Genomic DNA, 23,660 nt, shown 5'->3' with positions numbered 1-23,660 from the left:
GCACTTTGGCCTGGTGGCTCACACCTGTAATCCCAGTACTTTGGGGGGCCGAGGCAGGCGGGTCACCTGAGGTCAGGAGTTCGAGACCAGCTTGGCCAACCAACATGGTGAAACCCTGTCTTTACTAAAAATACAAAGATAGGTGTGGTGGCAAGGCACCTGTAATCCCAGCTACTCGGGAGGCTGAAGCAGGAGAATTGCTTGAATCTGGGAGGCGGAGGTTGCAGTGAGCCGAGATTGCGCCATTGCACTCCGGCTTGGCTGACAGAGCGAGACTCTGTCCTCCCCCAAAACAAACAAACAAAAAAACAAACAACTAATATACAGAAGTTAGTTGCATGCTTATGTATCAGCAGTGAAAAGGCAATTAAGAGACTCCGTTTTCAATAGTATCAGAAAAAATAGAAATAAATCTAATGAAAGATATGTAAGAATTCTAGGCTGGGCGTGGTGGCTCACACCTGTAATCCCAGCACTTTGGGAGGGCGAGGTGGGTGGATCACGAGGTCAGGAGATCGAGACCATCCTGGCTAACATGGTGAAACCCCATTCTATTAAAAATACAAAAAAATTAGCCTGGCATCTGGCCTGGTGGCAGGCGCCTGTAGTCCCAGCTACTCTGGAGGCTGAGGCAGGAGAATGGCATGAACTCAGGAGACGGAGCTTGCAGTGAGCTGAGATCGCACCACTGTACTCCAGCCTGGGTGACAGAGCCAGACTCCATCGAAAAAAAAAAAAAAAAGAATTCTAAAGGAAAATTATATATTTTTAAAAAAGGATTTTAGGAGGACCTAGAAATAGAGAAATATACCATGTTTTTTGTACAGGAAAACTTTGTATCTGAAAAATATCATTTCTACCTAGTTGGCATATAGACCAATGAAATTCAAATTAAATCACAATCAGGCTTACCAGGGAACTTATTAGGTGATTTTAAATTTTATATGGAAAGGGTGGAAAGATAAAGAGCCAAAAGTAGCTAGGACATTTCTGAATAATATCAGAGAGGGAGGATTTTTTTCTATTAGATATCAGGACTTATTATGAAGTTACAGTCAATTTAACCAATGGGATGTAGCCCTTGTGTTATTCTGTTTGGGCTGTTCTAACAAAATATCATAAGCTGGATAGCTTACAAACAATAGAAGTTTATTTCTTACAGTTCTGGAGGCTGGGAAGTCCAAGATCAAGGCACTGGCAGATTTAATGTCTGTTAGGGGCCTGCTTTCTGGTTCATAGATGGCGCCTTCTAGCTTCTCCTCACGTCGTGGAAAGGCACGGCAGCTCTCTGGGATTACCTCTTGTAAGGGCACTAAGCCCATTAATGAAAGCTCTGCTCCTGTGATTTAATCAACTCTCAAAGGTCCTGCTTCATGATACCATCACCTTGGGGGTTAGGTTTAACACAGGAATTTTGGGGGAACTTAGACATTCAGATCACGGCATGGAGGGAATTGACCAGTGGGATAAAATACTGAAGTGAGAAGATCCACCTATGTTGTCCCACTGCTCCACCATGCCTCTTCTGGGTACACTCCAGAGAGAGTGAGTCAGGATCTAATTTTTTATTTTGAAATAATTTCTGACTTAGGAAAATGTTGCAAGAATAGCATAGACAATTCTCATATTCTTTTACCTGGATTTCCCCAGCGTTAACATTTTATGACATTTGTTTGCTCATCCTGTGTTAATATTATTGCTTTTTTTTTTTTTCCTGAAGTGTTAGAGAGTGAGTTGAAGTATTTACCCGTAACTATTTTGAAGTATATATCCTGAAATCCAAGATGTTCTGTTACATAACTACAGTGCAGTGGTCATAGTTAGGAAATTAACTGATGAATCTATAGACTATATTCAAATTTCACCTCTTCTCCCAAAATGTCCCGTATTTCCCCTCACCCTTTTTGGCCTACTATCTAATCTGGGATCCTGTTTTGCATTTTGTTATCCTGACTCGATTAATCTGTAACACTTTCTCAGTCTGTCTTTGTCTTCTATGACTTTGGCATTTTAAAGAGTTCAGCTCAGTTACATACATCAGAGTATGTGATCAGATATTCTTACTGATGCAATGTGTGATGAAAAATGAGAGAAACAAGAAAAAGCTATTGATTGCTTAGCAGAAGCTAAGCATTGACAGTAGTGAACCAATGTGTTCAAAGTGATTGCTATGTGATTTTCATTTTCAAAACCAGTGATAATACCAGTGAGATAAGGAAGATGATGATTGAAATTTATGAGACATGAATTTAGATACTCCTCTCTTCCCTGGCCAGGTATGGAGGAAATAGTTGACTGAGAGGTTAATGTCCTGCTTATCTCCTTCCTTGCAGAAAGAGAAAGACTGGGAGAGAGGAAAGCTAATGGAAAGTTACCTGTCAAAACAGTACCTTCCAAAGATCTTCTCTCCAGAAGAGAGGAAGTAATTTCTCAGGAGCTGGAAACATGATTGGAAAACAAAGGCAGTAGATACTTAACACTTATTACGTGTCCCAAACTGCCCTAGGAAGTGGGATGAGGCACAGAGAGAATTGGGGAAACTTGAATTGAGGAGTTAGATTTCTACTTTTATTTGTTTAAATTTACATCTACAGAAGGATTCAAGATCACAGTTTTGACTTGAGGTTTAAAACTTAGTCTTTGACCCATCTGAACTCTTACTTTGATTTAGTTTGTGAGTACGAACATATTCTTTAAAGATAATAGGGAATTAGGAGAGTGGTCCTCTTTTGTCCTCTCTTTCCAAGTATTTTCTCACTGTCATGGCTTGGAGCACTGATTTCTGAACCTAACACCCATATGGAGCATACATTATGGGTGGTATATATGTACATGGTGTAGCACGTCGTGTCTGAAGAGCTGAAAACTTCACCTTGAATTTTAAAACTAGACATTTTTACAGACGGTGCTTGCTGGAGAGAAAGCAGAAGGCTGATTTTTGGATCGGTTTACTTGTAACCTTGGTTGATTCACTGTGCTCAGTTGTCCAGCTGAAAAATGGGAAAATAACAAGCCTTTAACTGTCTGAAGGCAAAGGAACTGCCTCTGATTTGCTCTGGGATCTAATATTTTATGATATGTTAAAAATGTCAAAATAATTCATGGGAAGGAAAGAAAAATAGGAGAGGAAAATTGGCAGTACAGTAAGAGGAACAAATTGCTGGTGGAGAATCAGTTTAATAAACATAGCATTTAGCCATGTTCACCTGAGTGTCATTTTTCTCTTTTAGTTAACTCTGTAGGTTTACTTTGAGAAGGGCTGCTATGGGATAAATAGAACATATAACAAATATATTAAATATTAATTCAGCATTTGTTACAACTTGGCTGTTAAACATCATATGGAAGGAGCAGTGGTTATACTTGTTTTGAAATTATCTGGTCCATGCCGCTGGATGTTGAGACCATTGAATTTACAGACTCCTATGGGAATTTCTAGTGTGCATGTGAATTTAGACTTCTATTCATGGACTGGGATGTCAGAGGTGTATATGTGAGGAGGAGGACAAGGAATTTATAGGATATTTTTGAGGCACCATATCTTTTATGCAAATCTGGGAGCTTAGAGTTAGCAAGATAGATTTTATTTTTATCCACATTTTATTTTCCGTTTCAAATACAAGGTTTTTGAGAAATTGGAAAAAAGTATTAAGGCTTTCGACAGTGCAGGGTATTTTGGTTGACTACTTAAAAACTTGCACATAGCATCTGTGATGCACTGTGAAAATTTATAGCAGAGCACTTTATTTTTTCTGTCATGGCTTTTGTGAGAAAATGTTTTCACTTTGCTTAGTGATTTACAGAAGATTACCCACATTTTGTTTTGTTTTGTTTATAACTAGTTAAGGCTGTGCATAGTAATACATTTTGGACTTTGAGGATGGGGCTTTCACACGTGCTGAAATCACTTTGAATCCATCATTTCAAGAAGATACAGCCTATCCTTTCGTTGTTTCTTATTAACTGCTTCAGAGCCTTCATGGATAGCTAGGCAAAGCATTCATTTCTCTGAAGTTGAACTGTGTTCGTGCTTGAGCTTTCTGAAAGCAGAAATGAGCTTCTGGTGATGAAACCTGTTGGATTTCTAGAGGAAGCAGCTGGAGTCTTTGGCTTGTTAACTAGCAATGATTCAAGTCTTGCAGATTGTAAAGGAGCTGGTGACACCATCAAGGCAAAAAGCAGCCACAGTGAAGGAAGGTAGGATTAGCAGAATGAACAATCAAGCACTTTCAGGGCACTCAGATTTTGCTAAGTATGGACCCAAGGATGTGCTATAAAAAGGGGTTTTGAGTTTCCGTGTATGCTTTTGCATTTCTGATATATTATGGTATCTGAAAAGGATCAGGTAATGGCATAATTGTTAACATGCCTCATTATTACTGTTTTTGAACAAAAATTAGGGGGATATTATTAAGAGGTACAGAGTAAGGGGAGGTTATTGCATTGCTGCTGTAATAGTACTTTTCATGTTTTAAAGATCCTCTTGCATTATGTATTTTGGAGGTAGAAGAATAATTTTTGTAATCCTCATTTCTTTTAATTTTAAAATATAAATATTCATAGCAGACATCAGAAGAGAACAAGCTAGGATTCTGCCTGTGGTAGAACATAAGAACTAGATGATTTTTATTTGTGTGAATAGCTGATAAAATAATAGTTATAAATATGAATTTAGCCAATGAATAGTAGATTTTATTGCCTTTTTTAGTGAATAATTCTGTTTATGATTATATGTTTAGTCAATGTTAATTATATTAAAAACAGTCTTATATTCATAGCGTGTGTCTAGAATATGCTGAAATACATTTTTGAAAACATTTTAAAATTGCATGTCTAACTTACAGATCTTAAATGAGCTAATGTAGATACATCTTTAAAGATATACTTATATATTTTACTTTTTAAGCATTTAAAATAGTACAATTCTAAAATGATAATTAGGAATTGATTTTCAAAAATCACAGGCCATCAAGTCAGTTGATTATATTGGCAATTTCACTAAATTATGGTTTAAAATCAGTTGGTAAATTGATATATCAGCCTTTTCACATGTAAGCATTCACATGTATTAAGCATTCTATCTTTATATGATTTGAAAAGTGTACATATAACTCAGATATAAAATGTAGATTACTTTATATTTTTTCTTTAATGTGATATAATCTGTGTTTTAAAGTAAAGCTTATGAGATTCCATAAGTCTTAGTAAAATGATTTAGCATGATAGTATGAATTGTGATACATAAAATAGTCAACCATATAAAGAATATTAGAGCTGAAAGAAATCTTAGACATCTTGTCTTTTTTTTTTTATTTCATTTTGTGGAAGAATGTGGTATTTAAGTGATTGAACAGATACGCATCTCAAAAAGCAGAGAGACTGTTGTCATTTACCTTTGAAAATGTGGCAGTATTATTTAGGATACTTTACAGTTATTTATCTCCTGCTTTCTACTTTATTTCTGCTCCCCTTCTGAAATAGAAAACTACATTCCCATCTCTAAATAGCAGGATTCTAACAATTAGGTATTTAAAGAAAATAGCTTTTACTATTTCCAGAGAATATAAATTAGTTAATTTAATCCCATCTGTTTGAAAATGTCAGATTTATGTAGTTTGACCTTTACAGTCAGAATTTTTTATTGGAATTTTTTTTAGTTTTTGTTTTCATTCACAATCATAGTTACTTGGAATATACCCAGGGAAAAGAATAATAATTTTTGTGCCTTTTAAAATGCTCATATATAGATATATCTCATATATTACAGGAAACATCATGTGGATATATGAAAAATACTACCAAAAGATAGTTATATATTAAATAAGATATTTATATCTTATTATATTAAAGTAGTAGGAGTAGTATATTAAAGTAGTAGAATGGCTTTTGTTCTCAGACTTTTGTTTAAAATTTTTCAGACAGTTTTTTTTTTTGTGAAAAACAGGAAGTATATACATAGATTTTTTTCTTAGAAGCTTGCTTTTTCAAACCTCTTCTAATAGTGTTCTTCATCATTAACCAATTTACTATTTTATCCTTTTGCAGAATATTGTTACATCTTACCAATTTTTCATATTGACAGACTCCTTGAAAAAAAAAGTCATATGGACAAATATAAAACACTGACCCCTAAGAAGAGAATTTAAAAAAAAAAATTCAGTTCTTTAAAATATGATATGAATTTGGATGGATGTAGAGAGAATGTAGCATTTCTAAGTATTGTATTCATATTAATATTATAAATAGTATGAAAAATTGATTTGTGAAGAGAAAATTATCCTAGAAGTATCAAAGTTGGGGATAAAATTACGATAAATGGTTTGAGAGAAGTTTTTATCAAATAGTTTTCCTTGGTATGCGATAGAAACAAACTTATGCTAAGTAAGAGTCAAGGATATGGTTAAAAATTATTTTGGGGGCTGGGCGCGGTGGCTTATGTCTGTAATCCCAGCACTTTGGGAGGCCGAGGTGGGCGGATCACCTGAGGTCGGGATTTCGAGACCAGCCTGACGAACATGGAGAAACCATGTCTCTACTGAAAAAACCACAAAATTAGCCGGGCGTGGTGGTGCATGCCTGTAATCCCAGCTACTCAGGAGGCTGAGGCAGGAGAATCGCTTGAACCCGGGAGGCAGAGGTTGCGGTGAGCTGAGATTGCGCCATTGCACTCCAGCTTGGGCAACAAGAGTAAAACTTTGTCTCAAAAAAAAAAAAAGAATTATTTTGGGGAGGGAGGGAAATTATAAAAGTGAATGAAAGACTAGATGAATGGTGTAACATGCATTTGTTAAGACAGTCTTGTCTAATAAGTGTTTGTTTAGTTAGGCAACATAGTCTAGTGGGTTAGTGTGTTTTGACCTGAGGCTGTCATGGGCAGAGTTAAGACAATGTAACCTGGTGGACCAGGGAAAAGGATGGGGCGAGTGATAACTATGCAAATTGGAACAACAAACTTTCACCGTTTTCCCTTCAAATGTCCTCATTAGCCTGCATCTCTAGGGCCAAGCTCCACTAGATTGGCAAGGTGAGACACCATCGAGCCGACTGAAAAGTAAAGCCACACCATCTCTTCAGATGTGTGTAAGGCGTAAATGTAATCATAAGAGCTGTGTGTTACTGAAGATCCTGCTTTTCTCCTTTAAAAGCCTCATGTTTATTTGAATTAAAACTTTTGAAAAACAGTGTATGTTTCTCTATCTTGTTAAACAGAAGTATGCTAAATATGATTGAATTTTTCTTAATTCAAATTCATTTTGCATTTTCTGTAGGTAGAGAACCGAACGACCAAGGTTATTAAAATTAGTACTAAAGTAAGAGTAGATTTTGAATAAGGGCCTTGAAGGTCTCTCTTGTTTTTAAGACATAGGAGCTTTGGTATCTGTCCTGACCTTTCCATTTCCACGTTCATTCCTTCATACTTTTCCTCTAGATTATGACAGTAGCCTCCTCATTCATTTTATTCAATAAACATATATTGAATACTTGCTGCATCTTAGATGCAAGGGCGTAGAGATATATCCTCAAGGAGCTCAGATGCAAGTGGTCAGAGACAAAAGTCAGTGATTACAGTGGTATGACAGGCATTATAATAGACAAGCTCATGGAACCTCAAGCGGGGAGGTACTTAACGGACCCTCTTAACTTTCCCTCATTTGGTGGTGAGAGGACTGAAGGAATTAAATTGTTTGATGAGGTGACTGATGCTCTCAGTTGAGCCAAGTCTGAAAGCATGCATAAAGGCTAGCTAGCTAGCTTAGGGAAAAAGAGAGTTTGTGTGAGCATCCCAAAGGAGGAGTCATGAAGATAAGAGAGGGCACAATGTGTTGGGAAAGCTGCAAATTGTTAAGTATGGCAAGAAAATAGGTGACGCAGGTGCCCAAACATGAAGAATCCGTGTAAAGATGTTTGGAAATTCTCTTAGGGTGATAGGGGGAGGAGGCGAGAAGAAGCATGATCATTTAACTCTGTGTGCCACCCTTCCATTGCTGTCTGAAATAGCTTTCTGAAACAATTTGCCATAAAACCTAGAATTCAGGCTTAACCTATGCAGTATTTCTGGCTGTATCACTGAATCTCTCCACGCACCCTCTGTGCCAGCTACATCAGAATACTTGCTGCTTCCCAAATGTGCTGCTCCATCTGGATGGCGAGTTTTTCCCTCCTTCTCCAGCAGTCACATTCCTTATCGATCAGCCTTCGGGTTCCAGTGCCACTCCTGCCAAAAAGCATGTTCTCTGACTTGTTCTCCCCTCACCTCTCTAGGTTAGATTGAATCGTTTCTTTCTTTATATTCTCTTAGCATTTTGCTTTTGCTTCTATTACTACACTTTAAAAATTCTATACGTGAAGGTTATATTTATTAAATTGACCAATAAATGTTAATTGCAATACATTTGTTGATTTGACTTACTGAACGTTTCTACTTCCATCCTGTTTTTTTAGCTGTGTTTTAGATGGTTAAAATTGCCATAATATGGTCTTAGATCAGCGAAATATTATAGCTAATAACTTAAGCAATAGAAAAATCCAAAAATGAACCCTTTCAGATATTTTGTAGATATTTCAGATATCGCAGATATTTTGTAGGTGGATAATCGTTTTCAGCTTATATTTAAAATGTACTCATTTTGCTATATATGTTGACAATTTAAGCTTACAAAACTAAAGTTATAGCATCTAATTTACTTTATTTGGTTGTAGGTTTGTAGTTCTTTATTTACAAAGGATTCATGCCCTTGACAAAAAAGAAGATACTATGACAAGAATTATTTAATGAGAACTTGAGAAATGGCTGCTTGTGACAGACAGTGTTCATTGTCCACCCAATCTCCATTCTCTCTTGTGTTTAGAGTGTTAGTGCCCTAGGTTAAAAAACAAACCAGCAAATGAACTCTCTTTCTTAAGATGTAAGCAAAAGCCTGCTGAGGATTTCTGGAAAGGTTTTACCTTCTGAGACAGTTGTCACCTCTGCTTTTCTGTTACATCTTTCTTTCTACCTGGAATGTGAGTGCAATTCATGGAGTAATGGCAGCCATGATGTGACCGTAAGGACAAAAGCAATATGGGGGAGAAGAAACATAGGAGGCTAGTCTTCTGTGACACCAGTGACACTAAGGAACATTTGTACCAACCCCTAGTTACCTCTAGAATTTTTGGCCTTTTACTTGTAGTCAAAGTGATTCTCACTAGTATGGTTTCTAATGTGATAAAGAATAAGACTAGAAGTAAAAGCATGTCATTTAAATATAAAACTAAAACACTGTTACAAAGTACTTTGTTCTGTGCTGGGATTTGGCAGTCGTATTTAGAAGTAGCATATATCCTAAGGTGAAACACGGATATGGCCATTAGAATGTGGTGAGAGGGATATTGATTTGGGAGTTGGAAGACCTGTGATCTAGTTTTACTATCATATGACTTTAGGTAAGTCAGCGAATGTCTTTGTGTCATGGTGTTTACTATCTATAATGTGATTAGATGTTCTCTAAGATCTTACAGAGCATTGACATTCATATTCTAATTAGTTTCTTGAAGCCATTTTTGTTTTTTATGGTAACCTCTTGAATTACAGTGTCAATTCATAATGCCTCCCTATGTTTACTCTTTGCATACAAGCACGCGCGCGCGCACACACACACACACACACACACACAACTACCTCCCGACACACACATTGATACATCAGGTAACAGTAGTCTTAGAAGGTTGTGCATTTGGCTTAGCTGTGACTAGCTTTTAGAGATTTTCACACGTGACCGCTAAGCTGATCCACAGTTACGTGAGTGGTTTAATGAAAAGGAAAGGCAGCGCAGAAGTGGTTAGCTAAGAGCGTGGGCATTAATCAGACAGACAGAGGTCTCGATCCTGGATTTGCTCGCTCATTTGCTGTTTAGCCTTGAGCAAGTTATGGAACTTCCCTGTACACTAGATTCTTTATCTGAAAAGTAGAGGTAATAATAGTGTATATTTTCCCAGGTGTTATGAGGGCTGTGTGAGGTCATGTGTATGAGGGACTCACACAGTGCCTGCCACACTGTAAGGAATAAAGGTAAGCTGCTGTTGGTATTTTTGTTATTTTTATTATTGTTGTTATTCTGTTGCTGATATTGCTCTTCTGATCTCTTAGATGGCTAATAATTTGTTTGTAGGTGTTTATGTCTGGAACAGAATACAGAGCTCTGTGGATAGCAGTCTGTTTCAATATAGTGATGTTTGTTAATTTCTATAACTGTGTCAGCTCATTTGTACTTGGAAAACTATAAGCAGTATATTTATTCCTTAAATTCAGCTATGTCATATTTGAAGTCAAAATTGTGTATGTTGTGGGTAGAGTTAGTTAATAAAAGTTTTGTCAAGACTTTGTTTTAGGGAGATGTATTTAGTACAGGTTGTAATTAATTTAATAATGTTTTAAAGAAAAATGAGTCCATTTTGTTTAGCTCGTTGGCCCAGTGTATTGTCTTAACTATGGAAAGGAGTTTTTGAAGTAAGTTGGTAAATTTTGCAGTCAGTTGTTGCTTGAAACTTGAAATGACCTTGAAAGGTTTTCTTTGAATTGTTTAAACCATTAAATTTGTAAACATATACAATTATTTGTCAATTAAAAATAAAATGAAATTTAAAGAATGAAATTGACTGCAATGGACTATTTAAGCACCATTCTTTCCCCTCCCCCATTTTTAAATTTTCGAGACAAGGTCAGGCTCTGTCAGCCAGGCTGGAGTACAGTGGTGAGATCATAGTTCACTGCAGCCTTGAACTCCTCGGCTCAAGTGATTTTCCTGCCTCAGCCTCCCAAGTAGCTGGGACTACAGGCATGCGCCACCGTGCCTGGCTAATTTTGTCTTATATTTGGTAGAGATGAAGTCTCACTGTGTTGCCCAGGCTGGTCTCAAATGCCTGAGCTCAAGCAGTCCTCCTGCCTTGGCCTCCCAAAGTTTTGGGATTACAGGCGTGAGCCACTGTGCCCCGCACCATTCCTCTCTTGCTTGTCTCTGAGTCTCTTAGTAAAGCAGGTCCGTATATTAATTAAGAATATGGTCTGAACTCTCCAGCATGGTAGCCAGTAGCCACATGTGGTTGAATAATTAAAATTAAGTAAAATAAAAAATTTAGTTCCTCATTCTAGCCACATATTAAGTACTCAATAGCCACATTGCAGCAAGCTCTGTTGGACAGTATTGGATAGATTGTATAGCCAGATTGCCCGAGTTCAGCTCTCGAATCCACTACTTACTAGTCTTGTGACCTTGAGCAACTTAGTTTCTCTGTGCTTCAGTTTCCTCATATGTAAAATTGGATTAATAACCTCAAACAAAAGTTCTTATAAGTTCGTGAATGTGGATTGAAGGAGGCAACATTTGTAAAGTGCTTAGAATGGCCCCCATTTAAGCACACAGTAAATATGTGGCGTTTGGTAAATAAACAAATATGCGTGGTGTTCAGATTTATTATGCTTTGTGTGTGTACCGATTTTTTTGTCCTTTCGGTATCTTTTATTGCCCTTTGAGAAACTGTTTATATATGCCAACCTGCTGAATGCATTTTTCATGTTTCTCTTTTACCACAGTTTAGACTCATGTTTCTGCCACACACTCTAGCTTAAAAATTTATTATGAGTGCTCACTGCTTTCAGGGTGAAGTACAGCCTCCTTCATCAGGCATTTCAGAGAGTCCAGCCTGCCCTTCCCAGCTCATTTTCATAGCCATCCAGCTCTAGCCCTGTGTTTTATTCCATTAATCACTGCCTTTGTTGTTAAAAATATTTAGTGGTGATGGCCATCTCTTCCAATGGCATATAAACTCTCCTGGCATGTGGAGCACTATTATCTGTGCATATGATAAATGCTGGACATATGCTGGTTGAAGAGTAAGAATCTTCAATATTTGAATTGCAATCAGTATTGCTATTAATATCAAAACTACGTTTGTTCAAGTAATCTGAAGTAAAGGGAATCCAAAACCCATTCTGCCACCTGTGATGTCAGCATTAGAAATGTACTCCTCCTTAACCAGCCTCTCCACTCCTGTCCATATTGGCTTCAATGGTGAGCGGCTGGATAGTAGCTGTGATCACTGCAGTTTGCTACCCTACGCTGTGGTGACATGCACATCACCATTGCAGATGCTTTCTGGATGATATATTCTTTTTTTTTTTTTTTCAGACGGAGTCTTGCCCTGTCACCCAGGCTGGAGTGCAGTGGCGCAATCTCGGCTCACTGCAAGCTCCGCCTCCTAGGTTGACACCATTCTCCTGCCTCAGCCTCCCAAGTAGCTGGGACTACAGGAACCCGCCACCACGCCCAGCTAATCTTTTTGTATTTTTAGTAGAGACATGGTTTCACCATGTTAGCCAGGATGGTCTCGATCTCCTGACCTCGTGATCCACCCGCCTCGGCCTCCCAAAGTGCTGGGATTATAGGTGTGAGCCACTACGCCCGGCCTGGATGCTACATTCTTAAAGGATGCTGATTTTATCTTGGTTTCTTGCTTTTTTAAGTTATCTCTCATGTTCTTTGATTTGCTCTATGTTGCTTCTTTCTGTGGTCTTCTTGGGTATACTCAAGTGTGTATCGCATATGTTTAACAAAGGAAAAATAGTGTTAAAAGAAAAAGTATCACTTAATATAAGAAGCAAAACTTAGTTTTTGTTTCTATGATAGTGACATCCAGGTATGATTTAGGTTATTTTTCACTTTAAACGGGCTATTAACTTCACGTGAGAAAAAAACTGTAGAAACGTTAACTCCTGTAGAATGATGACTATCTGTGGTGTAGTAAGATCATACAACTTCTCTACTTGTTACTGTGAGTTGCTTAATAAATGGCAGTACAAGTGTCAAATCCATAATTAGTCAATATCAAGAGCTGCATTTTGGATTGCATGTACTGTCCCAAATATATGTTGTGCAAGTTACTTTGTATCATGTTAATGGAGAAAAGAGTGGATATTATGAAATCAGCAATATAAATCAAATGTATATGTGGTCCTGCAATGTAATTGAAGGTACTCAGTGTTCTCAGACACTCATGCAATATCTTGTGTTGCTTTCTCAGATTTTTTAGGTGTATCATAGGGGATAGCTGGGAACTGGTAGAGCAGAGGTACTAAGTTCCACCTGGAAATGCTTTAGAGTAGCTCTTTGAATATGTCTTTACTTATTATCTTACAGCGTATGTGTATATGATTATTTTCTAGAGGGTCGTACCCTTTATTAAGCTGTGAGCTTCTTGAGGGCAAGGACTGCAATTCATTAATCATTTTGGAGAAAAGTGAATAATTCTGAAGAATTCGGTGGTTCATGAGCTTGCCTGGTATTTGTTTCTCTATGGCTTATCATCTAAGTGAGATAACAGATAGTAGATAATTGATAAATTTAATCTGTTACCTAATTACTGAGAGGATTCGATTCTTGCTTTATGTTATTACTGAAACAGACTGCCCAGTAATCTTCTCTAGAGAGCAATTAGGTTTGCAATGAGTTATTTTATTGAGAATGCTACTTGAAATTAAATGTTTATAGCACTATCTTGATATAATTTAAATATAATTTAAATGTGCTGAAGTATCTTCATTCAGATAACTTGTTACCCCTTAACAAAAGGCTGCTTGAGTATTGTTTCTCTCCCATTTGGCAAACACCAGATGCAGTGATTAATAAAGGTCATTATGCTACTTAGTCATGGAGCGCTTTTAATGACTGTTACCTGAACATCTGCTAGATTCACGATGGCAGTTACCAGAAACATCTAACAAAATATACATGCTGTGCTTTGAAAATCTGGCTTGGACTAATCTAAATGACTACCTAAGAACATTTGAATATTCCCTGAAGTTTTATTAATTGTGAGAAAGCCCTTATCTTTCTGTAATGTGAACAATCCAAAATGTCAACAAAATGCTAATTTGGAATGGCTGTCCTTGACAATCTCAGCTTCCTGAGGGCTGCATGCTCAGGGGCTGGGAGTCGTCTGTGTAGAGTCGATGGAGACCCTGGCTCTCTTGCACTTCTGATTATCATGGGAAGCCTCGCCTTGGAAATGTGGGACTGGAGTTGAGCTGAAAAGAAGGAAAAACTTTACCTAGACTCTGCAGGGAGCAAGTTGAAAAGCAGAGAATGGGTATATTAATTATGGGGTTTTTGAAAACAGCACTAAGTACTTTTCAGAAAAACTTATTTTGAAATAATTATGGATTCATAGGAAATTGCAAAACAGTACCGAGAAATCCCATGTACTTTTTACTCAGTTTCCTCCATTTTTATGTAACTTTAGTTAAATATCAAACCAGGATATTGATATTGGTACAATCCACAGACTTTATTCAGATTTCATTAGTTTTACATGCATGTGTGTGGTGTATGTGTGACATTTGTGTGTATGTGTGTGTGTGTGTGGTGGGTCCTCGGCAATTTTATCATGTGTAGATTTGTGTAACCGTCATCAGAACCAAGGTTACAGAAGAGTTTCATCACCACAGGTTTCCTTAACGCTATGCCCTTTCTATCATACCCTTCCCACACCTCCCTGCACTTCCCTAACCCCTTGCAATGAATTTGTTCTCCATCTCTATAAATTTACCATCTTGAGAATGCTATATAAATGGAATCATATATTATATTATCTTTGGGGATTTTTTAAAACTTAGTATCCATGAAATTGTTTCATGTATCAATGGTTTGTCTCTTTTTTATTGATGAGTAGTATTCCACAGTATGGATGTACCAGAGTTGGTTTAACCATTTACACACTGAAGGATATTTGGATTGTTTCAAGTTTTTTATTTATTTTATTTTATTTTTTATTTTTTTTACTATTACAAATAAAGCTACTATGAACATTCAGATTTTTGTGTCGACATAAATATAAATTTTTATTTCTGTGGGATAGATACCCAGGAATGTGATTCATAGATTGCATGGTAAGTGGATGTCTACTTTTTCAAGAAACTACCAAAAGACCCTTACTATTATTCTTCTAAAACTTATTTACTAATGCCTAATAAAACTAGAATACTGAGAAATTAGGCAATTCACTTATGATTGTACTGTGTGGAATTCCACGTTTTTAGATCAAGAAACAAGTGAAAATTTGGCAGATAAAATAGACAAGTTACAGAAATACAAGTGGCTAACAACATATGAATGTTGAGTGTCACAAATAATTAGAGGACTGTTCAGTGTTAGAATTACATTTAGTTGCAAGTAATTTAAAACCTGGCTGAGTGGCTGAAACAGTCCAGGCTAGCTAGACTCAGAGTAGTCACAGTGGCCAAGCAATGTCTTGAGTGACCCGGCTCTTTTCACGTTTCTCCTCAGCCACACTTAATCCTTGTCCTCAGAGATACGTGATGACTGCTGCGTCTTCATCCTTAGGTCCAAGAGCCAAGCAAGAAGAAAAAGGAAAAGGGGAAATCTGAAGTTGGTGTCACCTGTGTAAGGAATGCAAAAGCTTTTCCTTAAGCCATCAGCCGGAACTGTGTCACATGGCTGCTGCTAGCTGCAGGGGGGTCCTGGGAATGCAATTTTTTTTTTTTTTTTTTGAGATGGAGTCTTGCACTGTCCGCCAGGCTGGCGTGCAGTGGTGCGATCTCGGCTCACTGCAACCTCCGCCTACCGGCTTCAGCCTCCCAAGTAGCTGGGATTACAGGCGCCAGCCACCACATCCAGCTAATTTTTTGTATTTTTAGTAGAGACGGAGTTTCACTATGTTGGCCAGGCTGGTCTTAAACTCCTGACCTCGTGATCTGCCTGCCTTGGCCTCACAAAGTGCTGGGATTACAGGCATGAGCAAATTTCTTTTTTTTACTCAGAACATCCTTGCTTAAAAAGATCTGGCATTCTTTTAGGAAGATGAGAGAATACTGGATAGGAAATTACATTGTTTGAGAATGCATATATAAACAATAATGAAATATTGTTTCAAGACTGGCTAAAATTAATAAATGGGACCAGTATTCAATGTGATGAAAAAGGTGCTCACATATTGTTGGTAAGAGAACAAATTGGTATTCTTTATCAAAATTAAAAGTTGTGTTTCATCTGGCCTACTAATTCTAGTCTGCAAGTCAGTATTCTATAGAAATACCATTTCTGCATCTGCGCAAAAGATAACATGCACAAAGATCCTCACTGTAGCATTGTTTACAATACCCAAACCAGTAGAACTTATCTGTCAGTAGAAGAAAGGTTAGTGCATTATGGCAAATCCATATAGTGAAGTACAATAGTATTAAGAAGAGTAAGCTTAATTTATCTGAACAGACCTGGAAAAATGTCTATGAAATATATTTGAGTAGAAAGATAATTGCAAAGCAATGTGCTTAGTATGGTTCTGTTGTGTGCCTTATACATATGCGTGTGTTCGTATATGTTCTTGTGCACGTATGCACATGTGTATCCTGTGTATGGTATGTTTAAATCTGTTTTAGAATGTGCAAAGGAGAAAGACTTTATGGAAACCCACCAAAAAAGTTAACATTAGAGGGTTCATTTGGGAAGGGGTGTAGAGGAAGAGAGTTCACTTTTCTTAATGCATTTCTGTATTGCTTGAATATTTTATAAGCATGAATTAAGTGTTCAGTTAGGAAATGAGGTATTCTACAATGTTATTTTTTTTGGATGTATAAAGCACAAACATATTTTAGCTATTCTGGATGAAACTACTTAAAATGTAATTTTACCGTCCTATGACATAGAGTATACTAAATGTTTTTTCTTTGCAACTCAGGGCCTAATGAGATATTCAGGGCTGCTTGAGTATGCTCGAAATAGATGTAGATTAACTGCTTTTTAATTCTTCCCATATACATTTTTTTAAGCTTTCTGACTCCTTTAGGTTGGCAGTTACTTCTTGTACATTATTAGTGTATCTGCTTTTAATAGCTCTTTTCCTGTTTTCTAATTTTCTGCTTCTAGTCTTAACTTTGACTTGGGAATGAAGCAACCATCAACCTGGTTTTAATTGTACCTAAAAATTGTTCTTAATAACAATAGGATAAATTAGTTCTGAGTAAAGATTTTGAGAGACTTGATTATGGATAAAATAATAAACTGTATTGTTGTTTGAATATATATATATATATATATAATATATATATATTTTTTACTGTTTGGAGGCCTTTTTTTTCTTCTTTGTTTACCTTTGAGTCTCAGCTGTGTTTTAGTTACTTGAGTCAGTGAAGTATTGCCAAACCTAGGAGTCTTTTAAAAACAGATAACCCAAAAGTGTTGCTTCCTCTTTTAGAGAAAGTTATTACGGTACTAAGGAAAGGAGGGGGGTAGCATGTTTTAGGGCAGAGTTATATAAGAAAAAAAAATCCTGAGCCTTAAAGTATTCTGCTCCTTACTAGTAAGATGATTCTTGACTTTGCTGACAAGTTGATCATTAACCCTGAGTAATGTGGTATCTAAAGCATAGAAGTTAGACTGGGATTTGAATCTTGGTGCCGTCCTGTACCTGCTGAGTGATGTTTCTGATCCTTGATTTTCTTATGTTTAAAAGCTTATTTTGCTTAATATTAGTACATGTTTTATAATTGCCTAGGTGGCACTTTCAGAAGTTGCTGTGAACATTAAGTGGAGATAGTTTATGTAATATATCTGGCATAGAGCAAGTACTCAGTGACTGTTATTATAGAAGACAATGGGAAATTAGGAATTTGCAATGTATCGTGCTTTTTTGAACGAAATGAGACTTTATTATTTTATTTTTATGGAATTATTATTCTCAGTGTAGAAAACTTGGACAACGTAGAACAAGTAAGGGGAAGATTTTTTAAAAAAATCTTTTATAATCTCCTTAGAGAAGACCTCTGTTAATATTTTATTGCCTTATCAGTCTTTTTTTCATGCACAAATACTACTTGCTGTATAGACTCAAACCTAACTCCTTAAAACAGACTTATATGGTGTGGTGGTATCCCAATTTTGCAGATAGGGAAAATGAAGCTTAGAGAAGTTAAGGTAAAAGAGCTAACAGGTTGTAGGGCTAGTAGTCATCATCAGGACTGGTGCACTATTGGAACAAAATGGGACTCTCCTTCCCCAGGGAGTTGAAAGCAGCCATCTATCTCCACGATCAAGTCACAACAATTTATGTTTATAAGATGTTAGATCCAGGCTTAGGTTGTACTTTGTGATTGTTTAAGAAAGCAAAGTAGGTTTGGGCTTAGTGCATTGTTTTTCCATTTATTACTGTAGTATAATGTTACTTAGATGATATATATATATGTATGTTTGGAGCTCCATACATGTTAAATTTCAATAATAAAGGTCGAAACGAGACTGTATACTATCCTAAAGTGATTATTACTCTCCAAGCTGTACTGTCTTACTAGTGTGCGTGGATGCCCTATGTGTAAATTTTGCGTGTTGAATCACTGAATGGTTTGGAAAGTGACCTTAAAGTTGCTGTTTTGTTTGTACTAAAAAATGACAAAGTAGGCTATATCCTTATTTTTATGATATTTTTGAAATTCTAATTTTTCTGTTTATATAACTTCAAGGTGAGAAGTAGAAATTGTTATTTGGGTCAATAAATATTTCCTTTAATTTAAACATCCTAAAGCATTTACACATTTATTTATAATCTTCAGAACCTCCCCAAGAAACTAGTTTGTATATCATATATACTGCATATGTAGTACCTGGGTACACACACACCCCTACCTGGTTTTAGAAAAGACTTACCTTTGTTGCTCTATTACACTTGGACCTGCAGCTTAGAGAATTTTGCAGGGTCTTGTTTCCGATATTTTGAAAATTGTACTGTCATGACTATAGAAGTCTGTAACCAAACTCGACTTAGTGGCTTATATTGCTTTTCAATGTTTTGTTTTTCAAAAGTAGGTTAAAAATTGTTAGTAGTTGATCTAAATATATCATCTAGGCAATTACCAAATATGTACTAATATTAAGCAAAGTAAACTATGGTTAGTTGTAGTTATACTTCCATTTGGGCATTGTCAAAAACTCCAGGAAAAAAAAGTCCCTGTATTTGCTCTTTGTAGCAAACGAGGGATGGATCTGTTTGAGTTTAGATATTTATATGTAATTTCAGTAGGAGTTTACTTTAAATTTCATTAGGATTAAATGGATATAGTTTATATTGAGGTAAATAGATGTGATAATCTTTAGAGGCTTGGAGGTTTTAAGGAGCCAAGTGTGTTTGAGGAAAAAGTCCAGTGTGGTTTGATTATGGGTTCCATGGATGGGGAGTGGTAGGAGGTATGCTTGGAATTCTGCAACCACAAATGAGGACCAGACCATCAAGGGTTGTTTTGACACACTGGGATTTATCCTGTAGGTATTCAGGTGTAGATGTCCAGATTAGCATTCAGGGAATATAAGGGTAGAGGGACATATTAAATAGATAAAGCATTCACCATTTTGGGAATGGATGTATTCACTCATGGGAGAACTTGTTGAGGACGAGGAGAAAAACTGGAGGAACCCTTTTTAGTAAGGGCCAGAACTTCGGAATATTGCTGTGGAATGATGATCCTGAGATGATGGTGTCATGGGCATTTTGGAGATCAGTGTGTATACTTGTTGTACATACTTATAGGAGTGGCATTTAGTTGGGGGACAAAGGAGCAGGGAAGAAGAGGCCAGGGCTCCAAAGTTGTTTGGGAGCCACCTGTCACTGTTTTGGTACCACCTGTCGCTTCGCAAATAGGGTCTTGTCAACTTTACGGCTACTTTGTACCTGTGCATCTGAATGTGACTGGAGAGTTCTCCACAACCTTCCTTTAAATTCAAGATTGTGAACCTCAGGTAGGCTTTTGATGCTGCCTGACAGTCATACTGTATACTTCATTCACTTAGATGACTGTTTCAGTTTTCCCTTTTTTCTCATACCTTCCGCGTTTCTTCTCCATACCTATTTTCAGCTGGTTATCTTGCTTCCTTATGGAGAAACTTGAAGCCAATGGCTTCATGGACCAGCAGACTAATACTGTTGGAGCTCCCTGCATCTCGTTAACTGAACCCATGTATTCTACCTGTTCCTGCTACAGATGAGCCCGCCCGTGTAGTATGCCATGTGTGCACTGCCCTGTGTGGCACCACCCTCTTTCCTCATGCACTAGAGTCTCTGTGCTCTCATGCACTCGTGAACATTGCTTACTCAGCTCTCTTGTTCTTTCGTGTCATCAATGTTCTCCCCTAATAAGTCTACACTCACTAACTCCAATTCATTCTCTTCCATTTTCCTTTAAATCCACTGTCGTCAGGTTTCAGCCCCATGACTCTGATTTAACGCTAGAGATAATCCAATTTAAAATTTGCATTTAAAATCATGGCATCTTTGAGCTAGAATATGTTATTCACACTGCTTTCTGTGGTAAGTATATTTGGAAAAATACACAGATCCTGCCATCCATCTATAGTTGTGGTTTTATCGTAAAAAGGCACTAAAAATGGTAACAAATTCTAATTGCTATTAAGTGTTGGGTATTGTACTTGCCTCCTTTGCTGTATTGGGCTCTATTTGTCTCTTTTTATGACTATTCCTTAATCCTTTCTATTACTAAGGAGTTGTCTAGTTTTAATTAAGCAGACAGTTTCAAGTTCTCTCTCTAATATGTTGAATAAAATTGTGATTGAATGAGCTGATTGAGCATGAAAACAGCATGCAGAAATTTAGAAGTTTAGAAAACAGAATATCCAGCAAAGTTAATCTGATGTATAATTAATGACATTTATAATTAATAATAAATTATATGCTTTAGATTTTAGTAATCTATTAAAAATGCTTTTGAGGATATGGAGTTGTTCTAGACTTCTTCTGAAATTCTCTGTGATCCAAAGCGAAGTGGTCAGTGGGCTTTTCATCTGTGCGTGCAAGGAATATAAAAAAACCAGGTCCTCAGTTGGCTGGTACCCTTGAAATTGAGAGCTAGATTGATAGACTCAAAAGACTGGATGTGATTGATTTGTTGTTAGAGTTCTAAGTGTCTCTCTGACCTCTCTATGTATTACAATCTTCCATTATGGTGTAAACTTGTCTACTTTTTCTTTTAATTTTGCCAATTTTTGCTTTATGTGTTTTGAAACTGTGTTACTAGGTCCATCCTTAGGTCTTCCTCTTGGGTTGATTGTTTTGTTGCAATAAAATGTTACTTTGTATCTCCTGTAATGATTATTGCCTAAGTCGGCTTTGTCCGAGATAAGTACAGTGTTATCAGATTTCTTTAGTTTCATGCTTACATGGTATATATAACTTTCCCATTCTTTTACTTTCGTATTTGCTGAGTGCTTGTTTGTTTATGATCTCTCTTTTCTAAATAGCATATATCTGTTTTTTTACATTTAATCTGATTGCCTTTGTCTTTTACATGGTGTGTTTAGTCTGTTTACATATGTTATTGTCATGTTTGGGTCTAAATCTGACTTTCTGTTTCTATCTTTCTACATGTTTTAAATTCTTTTTCTCCTGTAATTTCTTGTCATCTTTTGGATTATTAAAATAGTTTTTATTATGTATTCTCATACCTGTTATAAATCATTTTGTTATTCTTTAGTGTTACCCTAGATTACATTATTAATCCCTGACTTATTCAAATTTATAACAAATTAGTACTGATGTCTGTTTTCCAGAAAAATATAAGAACCTCAAGGTAGTTAACTCCATTTATGCCCTGTCTGCCTTTAGGGTTATTGTTGCTTTATGTTTTAATTGTATATAGATAGTAAACCCCATGTGTTTAGTATCCATGTATTTATGCTTTCCATATCTCTGTATTTCTTCCTTCATGACTGTTTGTCCATCAAGGCTCGTGTTTTTCTGCTCGTAGAACCCCTTTTATTATTTTATTGTGTGTGGGCTCACCATTAAATATCTCAGGCATTATCTGGAAATGTCTTTATTTTTGCCTTCAGTTTTGAAGGAAACTTTCAGAATGTCTTGAAATCCTAAGATGCTGGTTATTTTAGCATTTTAAGAGTGTAATTTCATTATCTTCTGACTTTCATAGTTTCTGTTTAGAAATTTGCAGTTGATCTTATTGCTGCCCATTTGAAGGTTGTCTTTTTCTTGGACTGCTATTTTAAGATTTCTTCTTTGTTTTTAATTTTTGGAAGTTTTACTCTGATGTGTCCAGGTATGTTTTTCTTATATTCTGCTTGGGGTTTGTTGTGCCTCTTGAACTGGTGAGTTCCCCTTCTTGCTTATTAGCTATTTAGAAACTGCTTCTGTACCATTCTATCTGTCCTCTCTAGGACTCTAACTGCATGTACATTAGACCATTTCCTTGTGTCTCATATGTCTCCTATGCTCTTTCATGTATTTTCTATCTTTTATTCCTCTTCTCTCTCTCTCTCTCTCTCTCTTTCTCTCTCTCTCTCTCTCTATATATATATATATATATTTTTTTTTTTTTTTTTTTAAGACCGAGTTTCACTCTTGTTGCCCAGGCTGGAGTGCAATGGTGCGATCTCAGCTCACTGCAACGTCCACTTCCCGTGTTCAGTCTATTCTTCTGCCTCAGCCTTCTGAGTAGCTGGGGTTACAGGTGCCTGCCACCATACCTGGCTAATTTTTGTACTTTAGTAGAGACGCGGTTTTGCCATGTTGGCCAGGCCGGTGTCAAACTCCTGACCTCAGGTGATCCACCTGCCTCGGCCTCCCAAAGTGCTGGGATTAGAGCCGTGAGCCACTGCACCTGGCCTCATAGGATTCTTAAAAAAAAAAACCAAAAAAAAAAAAAAACAGGCCAGGCGCGGTGGCTCATGCCTGTAATCCCAGCACTTTGGGCAGATCATGAGGTCAGGAGATCGAGACCATCCTGGCTAACATGGTGAAACCCCATCTCTAGTAAAAAAAAAAAAAAAAAAATTAGCCGGGCATGGTGGCAGGCACCTGTAGTCCCAGCTACTCAGGAGGCTGAGGCAGGAGAATAGCATGAACCCAGGAGGCGGAGCTTGCAGTGAGTGGAGATCGCACCACTGCACTCCAGCCTGGGTGACAGAGCAAGACTCTGCCTCAAAAAAAAAAAAAAAAGCTGCCTTACTTTGTGGGTCTATCTCTGTTTCCTTTTTTCTTTTTTTTTTTCTTGGTATTGTGTCTTCATATGCCTTGTAATTTTTTCTTGGATATCAGATAGTACATATGAAAAACTTGTAGAGGTTTTGGTTCAGCTGTTAACTTCTTGCAGGCAGCAAAATAAAAGGCAAAACGACTTAGTCCAATCATGTTTGAGCTGTCTGAATTTCAGTATTTATAAAGCTTCACTTATTTCTGGTTCTCCATTGATCCTAGGGCATAGTCATTCAGGGGCCTGAGCTGGAGTCTGGGTGCTTACCAGGTTGCTGCCCCTTTAGTGGATCCCGAACTCCAATTTTTATTTTCTCAGGACTGCCACAAGTTCTGTTTAGCTTTTACATTTTTTATTGTTACTTTCTGCCTGGTTTCTCTCAGTCTGTGGTGCTTGTGAATGGGCAGATGCTTTGAGGAGTTAAAGGGCTCAGATTTTGGGTTGATTTCTCACTGCTTTCTTTTTCTGTAGGATCTTGGCCCCTCATGCTTTGTGCCCTGAGCTCTAGTTTTGTCTCCCAGCCATGTGAAACTGAAAACCCTTGAATTTGCTTCCTCTGAGCAGTTTCTATTTGGGGCTGCACCGTTGCTCTTTCTTCTGTGTGTACTCTGCTCTCTTGCACCCA

The 23,660-nt window shown here is 37.1% G+C and overlaps 1 protein-coding gene across 11 annotated transcripts in view, besides 1 other annotated feature; it reads left to right on the top strand.

The window, feature by feature from the left end:
• USP6NL (USP6 N-terminal like) overlaps positions 1 to 23,660 on the top strand; it is a 151,141-nt gene that overhangs the window by 33,848 nt on the left and 93,633 nt on the right. For 3 of the 11 annotated variants that reach the window (XM_006717542.4, XM_047426036.1, XM_011519762.3), the window contains one exon: positions 15,318 to 15,401. The exons of 6 other annotated variants lie outside the window; for them this stretch is intronic. In XM_006717542.4, coding sequence (XP_006717605.1) covers positions 15,318 to 15,401 — 84 coding nt within the window. Of the gene's footprint in view, positions 1 to 1,714; positions 4,198 to 12,164; positions 13,680 to 15,317; positions 15,402 to 23,660 lie in introns of those variants that run through there. 2 more of the 11 variants (NR_125732.2, NM_001391959.1) reach the window with 2 other exon arrangements.
• Positions 23,230 to 23,399: an enhancer, noted in NCBI's record as "active region_3015". NCBI's record gives its function as "activates an Ori minimal core promoter by ATAC-STARR-seq in GM12878 lymphoblastoid cells {active_cell/tissue: GM12878}" and the evidence as "EXISTENCE:reporter gene assay evidence [ECO:0000049][PMID:35858748]".

Source organism: Homo sapiens, chromosome 10 (assembly GCF_000001405.40).
Source record: "Homo sapiens chromosome 10, GRCh38.p14 Primary Assembly".
In the NCBI taxonomy this organism is placed as follows: Eukaryota; Metazoa; Chordata; class Mammalia; order Primates; family Hominidae; genus Homo; species Homo sapiens.
This window is presented reverse-complemented; position numbering and strand designations above follow the sequence as displayed.